This window comes from Homo sapiens, chromosome 3, assembly GCF_000001405.40.
Source record: "Homo sapiens chromosome 3, GRCh38.p14 Primary Assembly".
NCBI lineage: Eukaryota > Metazoa > Chordata > Mammalia > Primates > Hominidae > Homo > Homo sapiens.
In genome coordinates, this window is record NC_000003.12 from 38,888,604 (window position 1) to 38,905,978 (window position 17,375).

General features: G+C 39.7%; 1 protein-coding gene across 7 annotated transcripts in view; it reads right to left on the reverse strand.

Moving 5' to 3' along the window:
- SCN11A (sodium voltage-gated channel alpha subunit 11) overlaps nucleotides 1-17,375 on the reverse strand; it is a 206,181-nt gene that overhangs the window by 42,840 nt on the left and 145,966 nt on the right. For 6 of the 7 annotated variants that reach the window (NM_001349253.2, XM_047447378.1, XM_017005650.2 and 3 more), the window contains 5 exons: nucleotides 16,589-16,718; nucleotides 15,262-15,500; nucleotides 11,291-11,470; nucleotides 8,242-8,622; nucleotides 5,930-6,361 (listed from right to left, as the gene is read on the reverse strand). In NM_001349253.2, the coding sequence (NP_001336182.1) occupies nucleotides 5,930-6,361; nucleotides 8,242-8,622; nucleotides 11,291-11,470; nucleotides 15,262-15,500; nucleotides 16,589-16,718 (1,362 nt within the window). Of the gene's footprint in view, nucleotides 1-5,929; nucleotides 6,362-8,241; nucleotides 8,623-11,290; nucleotides 11,471-15,261; nucleotides 15,501-16,588; nucleotides 16,719-16,843; nucleotides 17,139-17,375 lie in introns of those variants that run through there. The other variant, XM_017005653.2, reaches the window with a different exon arrangement.

Genomic DNA, 17,375 nt, shown 5'->3' on the forward strand with positions numbered 1-17,375 from the left:
CTGGATGATAGCATGATAATCTCTGCGGACGTTCTCCCTAGGGAAATAAGCATAAGTGGTGAAAACTGTTTTAAAAATAATTTAAAGTCTCTAGAAATTATTCTGAGAGTGCACAGCAAATGAAGAAACATTTGTTCAAGAAAATCTACTAAAATTCAGTAAGAACAGCAGAAATTGATGACACTTAAGCCATGATCTGACCTCTCCCCCCATCCCTTCCAGCCAAGTTTTATGGAGGCTCCACTCTAGACCAAGGTGGCCAAGAAGATAGGGCTCCCTCTACCCTAGCTCTCAATCAAGGGATGTGGTGATGGGTGCACCAAAATCTCACAAATCACTGCTAAAGAACTTATCCATGTAACCAAAAACCACTTATTCCCCAAAAACTACTGAAATTAAATTTTTTTTAATGAAATTGAAAAAAAAGATATTGAGCCTTTTGAATGGAAAGGCACATCAATGATATCTGCATAAGGGGAAAATCTTTTTAAATGCTTACATTAAAAAAAATACAGCCTACATGTTAAATTACCTATTGCAGGCCAGGCACGGTGGCTTATGCCTGTAATTCCTGCACTTTGGGAGGCTGAGGTGGGCGGATCACCTGAGGTCCAGAGTTCAAGACCAGGCTGGCCAATATGGTGAAACCCCATCTCTACTAAAAATACCAAATTAGCCAGGCATGGTGGCACACACCTGTAATCCCAGCTACTTGGGAGGCTGAGGCAGGAGAATCGCTTGAACTCGGCAAGCAGAGGTTGCAGTGAGATGAGATTGTGCCGTTGCACTCCAGCCTGGGTGGCAAGAGCAAAACTCCGCCTCAAAAAAAAAATTACTTATTGCATACTTATTTTATTTTAGTGCAAGGCCTGTCACATGGTGGTCATTCAATGCATTTGAAATAAAGAAATGCTGGCCGGGCGCGGTGGCTCACGCCTGTAATCCCAGCACTTTGGGAGGCCGAGGAGAGCAGATCACGAGGTCAGGAGATCGAGACCATCCTGGCTAACATGGTGAAACCCCATCTCTACTAAAAATACAAAAAAATCAGCCGAGTGTGGTGGCCGGCGCCTGTCATCCCAGCTACTCGGGAGGCTGAGGCAGGAGAATGGCAGGAACCCGGGAGCCAGAGCTTGCAGTGAGCGGAGATCATGCCACTGCACTCCAGCCTGGGCGACAGAGCGAGACTCCATCTCAAAAAAATAAAATAAAATAAAATAAAATAAAATAAAATAAAATAAAATAAAATAAAATAAAATAAAATAAAGAAATAAATGCTGTTTAGTATCATCAAAAACAATCCCATTTTCCAATGCATAAATGATTACACCACCATGAAATGCCTACCAATAAAAATGCATGAGTTATGGAAAAAAAAAAAAGCAGCAGCAGCTGCAGGCCATCAGCATTTCTTATCTCTTCCAACTCTGAGTTAAGGCCTCTAAATTTCTGGTGAGTGTGGCCAAAAAGTTGGCTCCCTTTTTCCATCTAGCCCTCCACTCATAGGGCAGAGACTTTATCCCAGAAGCGGCAGCCCAAGAATACTAGAATCATCCTCATTCCAGCTTACTTGTAGGGCAAAAGCTCTGGGGGTGGGGAGGATTAAGGAAGAAGGAAACTGAGAAGTTGAGAGGCTACTGCCCCTGCCCAAGTGCCTGGAATTGTGCTTAAAAGAGTTTGCCCAGAGTGGGAGGTAATTCATAAGAAAAAAGAGCTCTGAAGCTCTCCATAGAACTGACTTTATTTGAAACAAAGTGGTGTGGGGAAGTATAAGTCTAAGAGTGTTCTTGAAAACAATGGATATTGGATATTTTGATCATAAGCAAATAAGAAGAGATTGGTAGCTCTCCTTCATTAAAGGCAAGAAACTAAAACATAGGTCAGCAAATTCACCACAAAGAACTACGGAAAGTGATGGCTAAGGAGAGTCCCCCTGGGGTCAAAACAAATCTCAAAGACTGCGCTTAAAAGCTATCACTTCCTGAATTTAATTGAATCAGACAGTTGAGCAATTTATGCCCCATGGCATTGTCAAGGAAAATAGAGCAATTATCCAGCAATTAGTTGAGCCTAAAATCGAAGTGTAATACCAAAAGAGGCAGACAGCTTAACAGAGAGATCACAAAAGGAGACAAAGATAGCCTTGCTGAAACAACAGTCATCCTACACTGACCGTGTGCACATCCAAGGATGTACTCTCCTAGGAGTGACACCAAAGCTTTCACATTGTGTGTGAATGGAGGGGGATAGGTTGGAGAGGGAGCAGATTCCACTAAAATAGTCTAGCCAGATTACCATTTAATAAAGAAGCTTCAGAGAGGAGAAAAGTGAATCAGTTATAGAGTTTCCACAATATGTTACTTAAAATGTCCAATTCAAAACAAAACAAAAATATGAAATGTGCAAAAAACAAGAAAGTGTGACGCACACAGGGGAAAACAGTCAGTAACAGAAACTGCACATGAAAGGGTCAAGATGTCAGAGCTAATAGAAAAAGAATGCAAAGAAGCCATTATAAATATATTTAAAGAATTAAAAGGTACAATGCTTAAGGAAATAAAAGATACTATGACCATATACAATCAAATACAAAATATCAATAGAAATTATATTTTGAAAAGAACCAAATAGAAACTTTGGAGTTGAAAATTATCATAACTGAAATGAAAAAGTCACTAGAGAGACCAACAGTACATTTGAAGAAAGAACCAGTGAATTTAAAGATGAATCAACAGAGACTGTGCAATCTAAAGAGCACAGAGAAAACAAAAGAAAGAAAAATAAAAAGAGCCTCAGAGAAATGTGGTGCACCATTAAGCACACCAACCAGAAAGGAAAGAGAGAAAGGAACAGAAAAAATACTTAAATAAGTAATGGCTGAAGACTCCTCAAAATTGATCGAAAACATTAATCTACACGTCTTAGTCCAATTTATGCTGCTATAATAGAATTCCTGAAATTAGTAATTTATAAAGAACAGATATGTATTTCCTACAGTTCTGGAGGCTGGGAAGACCAAGATCAACAGGCCAGTATCTTGTGAAGGACTTCCTGCTGCATCATAACATGGCAGAAGGCATCACCACATGGCAAGAAAGAGAAAGGAGGGAAGGCAGCAAACTCATTCTTTTATTAGGAACCCACTTCCACAGTAACTAAACTACTCCCACAATAACAGCATTAATCCATTCATGAGACCAGAGTCCTCATAATCTAATCACCTATTAAAGGTCTTACCTCTCAACATTGTTACTTTGGGAATTAATTCTCCAACATATAAACTTTAGAGGACACATTCAAATCCTAGCACTCCACATCTAAGAAGCCCAATGAAACCCCAAGTAGAAAAAACACAAAGAGATCCACACCTAGACATATCATAGTAAAAGTGCTGAAAGACAAAGAAAAGAGAAAATCTTGAAAGTAGCAAGAGAAAAGTGGTTCATCATGTACAAGGTGACATTGATAAAATTAACACTGACCTTGCATTAGAAATAATGGAGACCAAAAGGCAGTGATATGATATATTCAAAGTGCTGAAAGAAAAAACAACAGTGAACCAAGATTTTTATATCTAGTGAGGCTATCTTTCAAAAATGAAGATGAAATAATCACATTCCCAGAAAAACACAGAGAATTCTTTGGTAGTTCGCCTACCTTATAAAGAATACTAAAGGACATCCTACAGGCAAAAAACAAGTGACCCTAAATGGTAATACAACACACAAGTATGATAAAAAATATATATTTCTTTTCCTTTCTTCTTTTAGCTGATTTCAAAAGCAATTGTGTAAAACAATATGTTTAAAATTGTGTTGCTGGGTATGTAACATATAGAAATAAAATATATTTGCTAATAAGAGCACAAAGGATATGGGTGGGAGCAAAGTTGCATTGGAGTAAGAAAATCACACCTGCAGGTAACTCACAGTCACAGGAACAAATGAAGACAGCCAAGAGTAACTAAGAAGTTTATTAAAATAAATCTTATAAATATACACTTATTTTCTTTTATTTTCTCAGCTCCTTCAGTAGACATCTAGTTATATTAAGCAATAATAAAAAAAAGTTGTTTGGGTTTTAACATATATGAATATAATATGTAGAATTTAAAACAATACAAAAACAGGAGAGAGGAAATAGAGCTATATATGAGTAATATTTCTATAGCTCACTGGAATTAATATAAATCTGAGATAGACTCTGATGAGTTAGATGTATATGTCAAATTTTAGAGTACCCAAATAAGGAAATAATTCAAAAAGATTTTGAAAAAACTAAAGTTATTAAAATGTTATACTAGAAAATATTTACTTAATGCAAGTGAAGCAGTAGAGAAATAATAAAGGAAAAAACATGGAAGACATATAGAAGACAAACAGGAAAATATGAGAAGTAAATAAACTGAATTAACAACAGCATTAAATATGAATGGTTTAACCAATCCAATCAGAAGGCAGAGATTGCCAGAATAGATAAGAAAACAAGATCCAATTATACACTGTCTGCAGAGGACACATTTTGGGTTCAAAGATATAAATAGATTGAAAATAAAAGGATGGAAAAAGACATGTTATGCAAACAGCAACCATAAAAGAAGCTGGGATGACTCTATTAACATCAGACAAAATAGATTTAAAAACAAAAAACTTACTAGAGATAAAGAGGGACATTTTATAATGATAAAAGAACCAAAATATTGGGAAGATATAGCATTTATAAACATATATACACACCTAACAGAAGAGACCCAAAATATATGAAATGAAAATTGACATAACTGTTGGAAGAAACAGACAATTCACAATAAACATTGGAGATCTCAATACCTTATTTTCAGAAATGAATGAATAACAACTAGATAGAAGATCAACAGGGAAATGGAAGATTTGAACAAAACTATAAGCCAGTTAAACCTAGCAGACATCTATAGAACACTTAATTCCAAATGGCAGAATACACATTCTTGTCAGGTACACATGGAACATTTCCAGGATAGACAATACACTATGCCACAAAACAAGCCTCAAAAATTTAAAAGGGCTGAAATTGTACAAAGTATGTTCTCTGATCACAATGGAGTGAAATTCGAAATTAATAACAAATAGAAATTTGAGATATTTATAAATATTAAACAACACATTTTTAAATAAGCAGTGGGTCAAAGAAGAAATCATAAGAAGAATTAGAAAATAAGATAAAATAAAATATAATTAAATATATAGAAAATAAAAATGAAAATAAAATGTATTTGATATAGCTAAACATTGGTTAGAGAGAAATTTATAGCTATCAAATATGAGTCAGTAAACAGGCCCTCCTCAGACATCAAATCTGTCACTGCCTTGATCTGAAACTTCCCAGCCTTCAGAGCTGCGAGAAATAAATTTCTCTTGTTTAGAAGTTACCCAGTCTATAATATTTTGTTATAGCAGCCTGAATAGACTAATACAATATCCATTACCCTCACACTCCCTGACAGCCCTCATCTCCCACCACTCCTCACCCACAAGATTGGTCTCTGCAGAAACTGAGTTTGTTCCCAGCACTGCCTTTTTTTTCTAAAACAAACAAACCAACCAACAAACAAAACATGCTATTCAGTTTACTTCCCAATCCCCTTTTCCTCACTTTTCAGCCAGTCCAAATTCTACATTTCTTGTAGAGTTCAACCAAAGGAACTCCCCCTGTCATCCCAGCCCACTCTGATTTTGCTCCCCTCTGAACTCTTCTGACACCTCCTATCTGTGCCACACCTGCAGGACCACAATAAAGAACCTGTCCTGAGATGTGCACATGGGTATCAAAGGGCAGCCACGTTTTGTACCCTTATTATCCTTGCATAGTGCCTAGAAAAGGGCAGGCTACCAGTGCCCTGTGATAACTCCAGCTTTGTATGACCTTTAAGTCTATGTGTGAACCTTCATACCTGTTGTTCAGGCTCAGGTTGTGTGATGCGCTGTGCATTATCTTCACCAGAAAATTCAACGTCATCTTCCTCCTCCGCAAGTGGTGCCAACCAAGTCCAATCATGCCTGACGCCCAGGGTCTTTGGTACAGAGGTTAGTATACCAAGCTCCTCCTGGGTCTCTGAGCCCCTTTTCATCTCCATGACCAGGGGAATGATGTCTTTGCTTTGTGCAGCACAGCCTCCTGCCACCTCTTTTTGCTGTGGTAAGTTTTGCTTCCTGCACCACTTGTGACAGAAATGCTCAAGAGTGTGTCTCACAAAACAAAAAGCCCGGCGGAATCGATCCAGTGCTAACTGGACTTTAGTTTTCCTGGCCTCTCCTTCTAAGTTTCCATTTCTTTCCTCATTGCTAAAGGAATTGAGCAGTAAGGCAATGAAGAGGTTGAGCACCTGGGAATGGGGTGGGTAGCAAGAAGAAAGGAAAGTTTAGCAAAGGAAAAGATATAGTGGGTTTCCAGGACAACTTTTCCCCAAGACTAAAAACAGAATCAAATTAGAGTTTTATGTCCCACTGTCTCCTAAGAAAGCTCATCTATCCAATAAATAAAAGATTGAGAAAGAAATAGAAACAGTAAGACAGAATAAAAATTGAAATTAAAGGGTGCAAATAGCCAAGTCCACTTTCCCTACATATAAATAATATGGATGAGTAGACCCTTACCAGGGTAAAGCAGAATGGGATAACCATATGGCAAAATTGAGAGTACATTTCTTGAGGAACAGCTGGATAGTGAGCTTTGATTTTTGCTGGAATTTCCCACAAGGATATGAATCTGATATTCAAGCCCAATGTACAGTCCTTTCTTATTTGAATATTTGTGAGATGATGTACTTTACAGTTTCTTTAGGTCCTGTTGCCCTAACCTTAGTAACGTACTGGGGCCAAGCCAAGCGAGTTGGACCAAATATGCAACTCTTTCGTTGAACCACATATCACTTCAAATTCACATAATCCCAATAGCTTCCTACCTGGGTTCTTTGCTCATAATTACACACTCTCTAATTCATCATCTTTACCTCCTCAAATTCCTTTGTTTGTGGCTCTCTTCAGCTCGACAATAGACAGCCTTTGGAGAGAAGTGCCTGGTGGGTGTAAATGGGTCTAGTCACAGTTCCTCAGCTGCACTGTGAGAATTCCCACCTCTGGATCTTTGCTTAAGCTCTCCTCTATCTGTCTAAGTCCTCCTTACCATATAAGTGGTCTTCTCAAGTTCTGTAATCTTCCACGAATCCTTTCTCGGTGCTCTCCTCCCACTCCCACTGGTGATGCCCTGTTCTTCTGAGCTTTTGTATGTATCACTTAGTGTCTAGGCACACCATTTATTAGGTACTTAGGATAAAGCTATCGTGTGTAGAGAGTTAATTATATTGCACTATAACCCCAACTTGATCCTGAAGATCTTGTGCAGTAAGGCAATGAAGTGCACTTAATTAGCCTCCTCATAAATATCTATGCTTCCAGCTGCAAGTAACAGACTCAAGCCAGCTTATACAACAAAAATCTGTAGCATAACAAGAAGTTCGAAAATAGAACAGCAGGCCAATTATGACATGAATACAGGTTTGTTCTCTCTTTTCACTCTACCTGCCTCAGTGTTGGCTTTGTTTTAGGCTGGCTCTTCTCATGGTTGCATAATGTTTGCAGGTTTGGTCCAAACCCCTCTGGCTAGGCCCCAATACCTCATTGAAGTTAGGGGAACAGGGACCTAAAGACACTGCACAAAGTACACCATCTCTCAATTCGTGCAAACAGGAGAGGATTGCACAGCAGTCCTGGATGTCAGATCCATATTCCTGTGGGCAATTCCACCACAGCTCTAAGCTCATGATCTGGCTTTTCCAGGGGTCACAGTCATAAAAAAGCCCAGAGGAAGTAAAACGATCATTTTTTAAAAACACATATTTCTTAAGAACAAAAGATTGTTCCCAAATTGCTCCAGTGGACATCTCTTTACATCCTATTGACCAAATTAACTCACTAACTCCTATTTCAGCCAATCACTGGGGAAGAGAATACTATTGTCTTAGAATAATCATCTGGAATAAAATAAATTTGGGGGCATCAGTCAAATGAGTAATATGTGTCAAAGAGGTTTTTTCATGCTTATCATACTTTTCTCAAACAAAATTTGAATGAATATTTCAAATATTTATTTGGCATTATATTTAGAATAATAATTTTTACTAGTAAAGTTTTGCAAATGAAGTAATGCATTTGAGAGGCATGTAGGATCTTTTTTTTTTTTTTGAAAAAAATCTAAGACACATACCACAAGTTTTCCTATCACCGTGATCAATATGAAGACAATAACACACAATGATGATGATGCATTCGCTTCTTGCATACATTCCCACATATTTTCGATCCATTCCCCGCAGAGGATGCGGAATACCACTAGGAAGGAGTGCCAGAAATCCCCCATGTGCCAGTGCCGTAAACATGAGACTGTCGGGCCTGTCGGGTTACAGAGTTTTGGACTCTTTTGGGAATTGAAGCTACGGCCAAAAAGCTGCATGCCAACTACTGAGAAAATAAAGATCACAATGACCAGGACCACAGTCAGGCTTCCAAGGGCTCCGACAGAGTTGCCGATTATCTTAATTAGTGTGTTCAAAGTTGGCCAGGATTTGGCTAACTTGAAGACCCTGAGCTGTAGAAAAAGACAACAAACAAAAATGGAAGAAAAGCCAGTTAAGGACAAACTCCATCTGCTCATCTATAAAGCAAATGACATATACCCAAACTTATGACATCCAAAACTCTCTTCAAAGTTAAATCTATCCTGAACATAGCCATCAGATCGCTGTCATAATCTAATGCTCACCTGTATCTACTTTCTTATTTGAAAATGGAAACATTGGCCGGGCACAGTGGCTCACGCCTGTAATCCCAGCACTTTGGGAGGCCAAGGCGGGTGGATCACAAGGTCAGGAGATTGAGACCATCCTGGCCAACATGGTGAAACCCCGTCTCTACTAAAATACAAAAAAATTAGCTGGGCATGGTGGCGCATGCCTGTAGTCCCAGCTACTCGGGAGGCTGAGGCAGGGGAATCGCTTGAACCTGTGAGTCAGAGGTTGCAGTGAGCTGAGATTGCGCCATTGCACTCCAGCCTGGAGACAGAGCAAGACTCCATCTCATAAAAAAAAAAAAAAAAGGAAATATTTTGTTTTAGTTTTTTAATCATTAAGGACTTTGGGATCAGCATGGTGACTGAGCTACATAATTATTATATAAAATGAATATTTTGGAATTATATGTAATATACCAAGCGTCAGCGAACTCTGGCCTGAGAGCCAAATACAGTCCATTGCCTATTTTTGTATGACCTCAGAGACAAGAATACTTTTCCACATTTAAATGATTGAAAAATAATCAGGCCAGGCACAGTGGCTCTCATCTGTAATCCCAGCACTTTGGGAGACTGAGGTGGGTGATCGCTTGAGCACAGGAGAGTTCAAGACCAGCCTGGGCAACATGGTGAAACCCCCATCTCTACAAAAAATACAAAAATTAGCCAGGCGTGGTGGTGTGCGTCTGTAGTCCCAGCTACTCGGGAGGCTGACGAGGGAGGATGGCTTGAGCCTGGGAGGCAGAGGTTGCAGTGAGCTGAGATCACGCCACTGTACTCCAGCCTGGGCAACAGAGCCAAACTCTGTCTCAAAAAAGAAAATAACAATAATCAAAAGGATATTTCATGATGCATTAAAATCATATGAAGTTCAAGTTTCAGCATCCATAAATAAAGTTTATTGGAACATAGCCATGCTCACTGGTTTTTGAAAGTCTATGGCTTCTTTTGTGCTACAATGGCAAAGTTTAACGGTTGCCACACAGACCACACAGCCTGTAAGGCTGAAAACATTTACCATGTGGCCCTTTACAGAAAAAGTTTGCTAACTTCTGCATTATATAATTCAGGCCACGAGTCTGAATCTAAGCCTCATAAGAATGATTAGAGTAATATGGCATTTGTAGTCAGGAGAGAAAAGGCAACCAGCTATTCAAGACTTGTATACTTTTTCCACAGAGAAATTTTATCCTAGATCTTCACGGACTTTATAGGAAACAACCTTAGAGAAAACATAGCAACTTGTTTTATAGGTTGTTTCTTATATTAACTTTTGATATAAACTGACGGTTTTACTCCAAAGTACAATTTTGTTAAGCACATCCCCTATTTGGGGATGGAAATGTTGCAGGTCAGTAAGGCTTCTGCTTGAAGAGGACTGTCATTGTCTACTCAAAGGGGAGCTAGGAGCATCCCAGGAAAAACCTGTGGTTCCATTCTCATACAGAGACAATGCCACAGATTTCCGTGCATTAGAGCCTGGCTGTAATAAGCCTAAACAATGATAAAGCAAATGCAATTTTGCTTACCTGAGTGCTAATAAAACATTAGTAGGAAAGCTTAATAACACCTGACTTTGAGCAGTGTAACCTCTTACTATATCCCAAGTATAAAAAATATAAAATGTACATTTAGGTAACTGAATGAGGTGTCTTACTCTATAGGCTTAAAAATCCTATCTGAAAAAAAAAGGTAAATATCTTTGAAAGGGGACAAAATCCCACCTTGGAGGTTTTCTAGTTCCCCTTCTCAGATTGGATTTCTCTGTAGTCCTCTGTCTATACCTTTCCTGGGCTCTGTCACACTGTACTGTGCATGTAGCCCAGTCTTGTATCACTCCTGTGCTGCAACCTTCTCAAAGACAATGATTTCCTCATCCTTTGTGCCTTCCCTCATGTCAGTTTATATTAGGTACTTTGTAAAGGTTTCCAGAATGCTTCCAAACTGGATAGCAGGCAAAGACTACAGAACAGAAATGTAGCACTGGCAGCAGTGAGAAGGAAACTTGTGAGATAGATAGCACCTGCCATCAGCTCCCCTGCATTCCTCCCCGGCATTCTATAGTCTTTGCCCCCCTTGGCGAGCCCAATATGACCTGAAAGATAGGAATATTTTCCCTTATTTATTTATTGCCTCACAGCTCCATGGGAAAAAAAGAGTGTCGGAAGGGTTGTGCACAGAGCAAGGAACAGAGTCCTCACACTGGGAGACACAATTTTGTACCCAGTTGCCTAAAGGGTCATCTCTGGCAGGAATGGGCTAAGGGTATAAGGGTTCAGTTAAGCGAAGTCCCCCCAGGGACTTGCAAGACTATTAAAGACCTGTGCAGGAAGAGGAGTGCAGTTTTGGTTCTGGGGTTAAGGTAAGATAAATTAAAGTTTAGTACAAGATAACCACTGAACTCACTCAAAACGTTTTTTCCACTTAGGCAGCTACGTTTATGCAGTAAAATAAGAAAGTGCCTTACCACTCTGAAGGAACGCAAGAATGGCCAGCTTCTCTTTTGAAGTACACAGTTCATTACATCTGCAAAACTCAGAAGAGCAACAATGCTGTCAAAAATGTTCCAGCCTCGGCGAAAGTAGTGGTAGGGATCGAGCGCAATGATTTTTAGGCACATTTCTGCTATAAAAATGCTAGTGAAAACCTAGAGTGGGACAAAGAAGAATGAGAGAAGGAAGCTGCGGAGATAACACTTTTAAGAATGGCCCAAGGGAAGTACAGAGGTTACAATGAAATGAAAAGTATTCTCATGATTGACACACTATACCCTAAAGTCCATGCAATAGAAATATTTACTATTGTAGCATGAACCTCACTATGACTTTGCTCCTCTCTCCATCCCTCTCCATGGTGCCCAGAGCAATGTAACCAAGCTCACAGACACCAGAATGGAAAATGAATATTATTTCTCATTCTGTTGAAGATAAAGCAAAATGGTATTACTGGTAGATGGCAGGGTGACAGAGTGTCAGGCAATTTCTCCTCTGAATTCTCTTTAGAATACCAATTAAAACAATTAAAATAGGGAGAGAAGGAATGTAAACAATAGCCCTGAAAACTAAGGATAATTATCCCCCATAAACTAGAATCCAGGAGGAGTTCACCTGACCACCTAATTTCAACACCTTGATCAGAAAAATTAAAAATAAAAACAAAAAAGGGGCACAGATCATAGAATTAGAAAACACTTCCAGGGGCAAAAAAAAAAAAAAAAAGTCTTTGAGCAACTCAATATATGGGATAAGCCTTAAATTTGTTATGGTTGAAAGGAGAATTAGTGAATCAGAATATAATCCTAAAACTCATTCAGAATGCAGGGCTCACATTTCCAGAACAAAATATCAAAGAATAAAAAGGAGAGGCAGGAATTACAAAAAGTACTGAATTTTGTATTTTCCATGGGCAAAATAGTTTTGTCTTTGTCTTCAATAATCAGATAAATACAAGCTTAAGAAATATGTAAAAATGTTGAATGTAGTAGCCAATTAAAAAATAAATCTGTCTTCCATATCTTTGCAAAAAATAAAGCAAATAATTTCTTCACGGCAAACAGCACAGTCTTATCACATACAAACACAAATAAATAGAAATGAAAAAAGCAAGAATACAAAAATAATAAGGTAATATTAAAAGGATTAAAGTCTTTACAAGGATTGTTATAAAACTGTCTACTACAATTCTGGGGGGAACCTATAAACGACTAAATTCGATTATTAAAAATAATGGATTATCTATTTTTATAAATGATTCAATGATTTACTATTTATTTTTAAAAATGCCTGAAATAAAATGGCAAAAGTTAAAGACAAAAGGATAGCAAAGATAAATCCAGGGTAGAAAAATAAAAATAAATCAAGAGTTACAAAGAAAATTCAAGTTTATTTTCATATTCCCCCTTTAAATACTGCCATCTACTCCTGCTCAGTGTCACCACCAGTATCTAAAAGCATACAGTGATGCCTGTCCTAGATAATTGTGTAGTCATCCCCACCTCTTTTGACTCACTCCTCCTTCTTGTATCTCCTTTAGGCTTTAGGCATCAAGCTCTACAGCATCACCAGATACCTTGGGACCATTGTTTTGTCAATTCAATCCAACTTTTCTTTATGGCTTCTTGGCATTCAGTGTATCCCTCTGATTAGAGCAATCTCTACCCTAGAGAGTTAATTTTCTAGTCCAGTCCTGCAGAACTCTACAGAGTGGCTTAATCCTGGCCCATGCATCAGAGGAGGGAAGTTTTGATGTGCTCCTTGGAACTTAAGACTCCAAGGCTTCTCTCCACCACTACTACCATGGGAGCAGTAAATAGTGTGGCTGCCATTTTGGTATTGTATGTCCAGGGAGTAGGCCCATGGAATGGAAACACAAGCTATGTGTATGGTTCTACATATTTCCTGCCAATTTTTAGGAGCTAGGGTGCAGCTGCTGCCTGTGTACTTGGAAAACAACAATGTCCCTGTGGCCCTGTGGCTCCTCCTGCTCTGGAGGAAGTGAAGAAGAATGTCAATCACTCAGTTTCCAACTGCAAAATGTAGCTTCACCTCCACACTCAGGATGTCTAGTCAGTGGTAAATCTGAGATGGGGGTTTTTCTCATTTTCTAAATTTGGACCAGCAGATGAAAACAGATCACCACTGCAATTGGGAAGCCCTGTCCACAGAGATGACTCTGGGTTTTTGAGTATTCTCTACAACTTATTCAGTAACTCCATTCCACCAGGAGGTGCTAAAAGGTGGAGTCTGCTGACCATGCCCCTATAGACACAGCTTGCTGCCTTCAACTGAAACAATTTCAGCTCATTTCTGAGATGCCTCAGCAGAGGATAGCTGAATACATGGCCAGGAGACCCTGATCTGTTACAAGCAACTATGTGTTAGGTTTGTCAAGCAGCATGGAATCTAGTCTAACCCATTCACACCCACAAAGCATTTATTCCCAAAGGCAGCATGGAGAAAGGAATTTATGTGCTATGTGCAGACTGCCTGTGAGGAGAACCACCCTGGTTTTATACTACAGTTCCACTGTATCACTGCTCCTTGTGGAGGGATGTGGAACTAAGGATGACAGGTACCTGACTCTAGTGCAGTGGGTTCTTTTTTTTTTTTTGAGATGGAGTCTCACTTTGTCACCCAGGCTGGAGTGCAGTGGCACGATCTCGGCTCACTGCAAGATCCGCCTCCCTGGTTCACACCATTCTCCAGCCTCAGCCTCCTGAGTAGTTGGGACTACAGGCGCCTGCCACCATGCCCGGCTAAATTTTTGTATTTTTAGTAGAGATGGGGTTTCACCGTGTTAGCCAGGATGGTCTTGATCTCCTGACCTCATGATCTGCCTGCCTCGGCCTCCCAAAGTGTTGGGATTACAGGCGTGAGCCACTGTGCTCGGCTGCAGTGGGTTCTTAACAATGTAAAACAAATTTTTTAAAGACATGTAAAAAGACATCACAAAAAAAAAAATGCCAAAAAAGGAGAAAAAATAACACTAAATAAAAATACATACACACATACATACATGCTTACATAAAGCTTGCAAATATTCTGCAATGCTAAAAATGATCATCTTTGTCAGCAGGTACATGGGACATGAATTTCTTCTATTTCCCTTATTTATATTTTTCCTTATTTTTAAAAAATAAAACAGCATTTATTATTTTTTAAATTAGAAAGATAAAACAAAAGTTTAAGAAGAAAAGGCTAGACATTCTGGTAAGGTTTTTAGCTCATTAATCCATCAGCTAATTAGGGTAGATCATCCCGTGGGCAATTATTTGTTGTTTCTGATATTCGAGGGACTAATTTTTCCTTGAGAAAAATGCCTTCCACAAGAACCATAAACTGAAGTGAACAGTCCTTGAAAAGTCTGCTCCCCTTAGTTTTCCCAATTTAACTGAGACTAGATCTATCCAATGAGAAACATATTGAAGCAGGCTCAAGTCTGGAAATTCACCCCACCCCAGCCTGACCAACCCCCAAACAACCCCTTCCAAAAAAGTGAAACTTCCACAGCTGACAGGCCCTGATTCATCTTTCCAGGGAGAATAACACCTAGTAATAGTAGTCACATTATTTTGTGACAAATGATGTCATGAATATCACTGGGACCACAACAGCCATTACCACGGTTCTCTGGATATGGTTAACATTTTCTTGATTATCTCAGAGAGCTGAACTTTTAGGATGTCTGCTTGTATCTGGCTTACCACTGAATGGCTAAAGAGATACCTGAACATACCAGAGGGCCAACTCAGGACACATGGACAGTTTCTGAAATGAACCGGGTAAAAGTAAAACCGTAACAGCCATCTTTTCCCTCACTCCACTGAAGGGGACCAAAAACCTAGGTTAGGTTAGCTCATTCACAAAATGTTTAGACTTTGAAAAAGTTATACTTTAAAGTATGAAATATGTTTTTTATTTTTAAAAAGTGTAATGTTACCAAATTCCCTATATTCAACATCTTCTCAAAACTGGCCTCCATCTTGTGATGCTCCATGGCCAAGAAGACAGTGTTGATGATGATGCAGATGGTGATGGCCAGCTCAGTAAACGGGTCAGTCATCACAGTTCTCAGGACCTTCTTAACGCACAGCCACTGGGGGCAACAGTTCCACACGAGGTACTTGGATGCCAGGTTTTCTCCACAAGGGAGACAAGGCTCTTGTGATTTTTCTTGTTCTGGAGGAGAATGAGCGAGAGGTTGAGGAGTTAGCTCTGAAGCAATCCAGATGCCCTTTGCCTGAGTGCATTCCTTCCTCCCTCTTCCCCAGGGCCTCCTGATACATGATCAGTTGTGAAATGTTTTGATTTGTGTAGTCAGAAAGGTTTTTCCACCAATCTTAGTGCAGAAGAGACAATGTTCCACATACAACTAGCATGCGGTACAGTCAAGTCCATCAAATATTTACACTCTTACTGAGCATCCAGGAGCTGAGCTTTGATGTTAGATATATAGATGTGGAAATCAACATTGGCTGGCTGTGAATCCAAGAGAGAGATAGATACAGGCACAAGTTATGTCCACTCAAGACAGACCATAAGGTCAGCTGTAACAGAGGCAAAAGGGGCAACCAGGGCTCAAGGGAAGGGGCATCTATAAGCACTGAAACAGTAAAAGGGACTCTATCCTCTAGTTGAGTTCAGACCATCCCTGATTTCCCTGGCACCGCTGCAGGGACACATGCAGGGCAAACGAGATGATGCAGTAGGCTTAAAAGTGCTAGAGGACCTATTTGACCCCCCTTGCAGGGAGTAAATCCTGCTCCTGAACACCAACCCCTGGGGTGGGGTCCTGTTACCTGCTATTAATCTGGTCCATCAGATGGCTCCAGCCTTTCTACATAGGTCTTCTATTGCCCATGTGGGGTTTCTGACTCTAACTTCAATAACAACTGCCACCTCCTGGAGACTTCAAAGTCTTCTGTTCTTTGACTGACTATTGTTGTCACTTGGATCTCTTGTGACTCCCAGGCCTGGTTTGAGGCCCTGTTTATGCATTTTGTCTGAAGTCCCATCCCAAGTCTAGCCAGCTTCCACCTCTACCCAGGTGCCAGTTTAGAGTGGGCCCACAGGGAAGGTCTGCTTCTTGTGAGCCACTTTGTTTACATGCTCCAAAGAGGCAAAGGAAGTCACTCTTTGCAGGATGGTACAGTGGGTTGGTTCCAAAACAGCCTCCTTTGCAGAGGGCTTCTAGGGGATTGGGAAGAAGAAGAATGGAAGGACATCACTGAAGTAGACTTTCCCTTGGATTGGGATGTGGAACTTACCCTTCATGGTGATGGTGAGGATGCTGACAGCACTCAGTGCTCTCTGCCTTTGGAGAGGATCTCCATGCTCATCAAAGTGGTCCAGTGATAGATTCTGGGACAGTCGTTTGGTTTGCTCTAGGAGCTGTGGCTGTAAGAGAAGGCATAGGGCACCTTCTAAAGACAGGGGCTGCCTCTCCTCAAAACTTAACAAACTACTTTGTTCCAATGCTACATGTAATGAAAGTGCTCAACATTTTCTATAGGTCTACTCACCTCGTCTTTACAGCATGCCAAATATTCAGTTTTCTTATTTCATGTTTAACAAATAAGAGAAATCTGGTTTGATCATTCATATTTCCTATGCATGCACATTTCTAGAGTCCTACCTACAGACATTTTACTTTCTCTGTGTTTCATTCACTGCCAACAAAGAGCAAACAAAATTTTACAAAAACTAGTAAGCAATGGTTCCGGGTATGAAAGCAATACAAAATCCAATTTGTAAACAATGTTTAAAGGTAAGAAGTGGAGTATAAATTTAGAAAGGTGGACTGGAGCCAGATTGTGAAGTGCTAGCTGCAGTTGTGAAGTGAACAACCGCCTATACGGTTTTTAAAACGGTTGGTAACTAAAAAGAACAGTCCCACTAAATATCACAAAATCTAGATCCTAAACCTCAAACACACTCTCAAGCTGGGCCCAAGGGCTAGCTCACTCTCTCACATCTACCTACAATTCTAAAGTTACTGGAATTAAACAGTGCAAACCTCCAGCTATCCAGAAAATTTGGGTTTTCCTAGTGGCT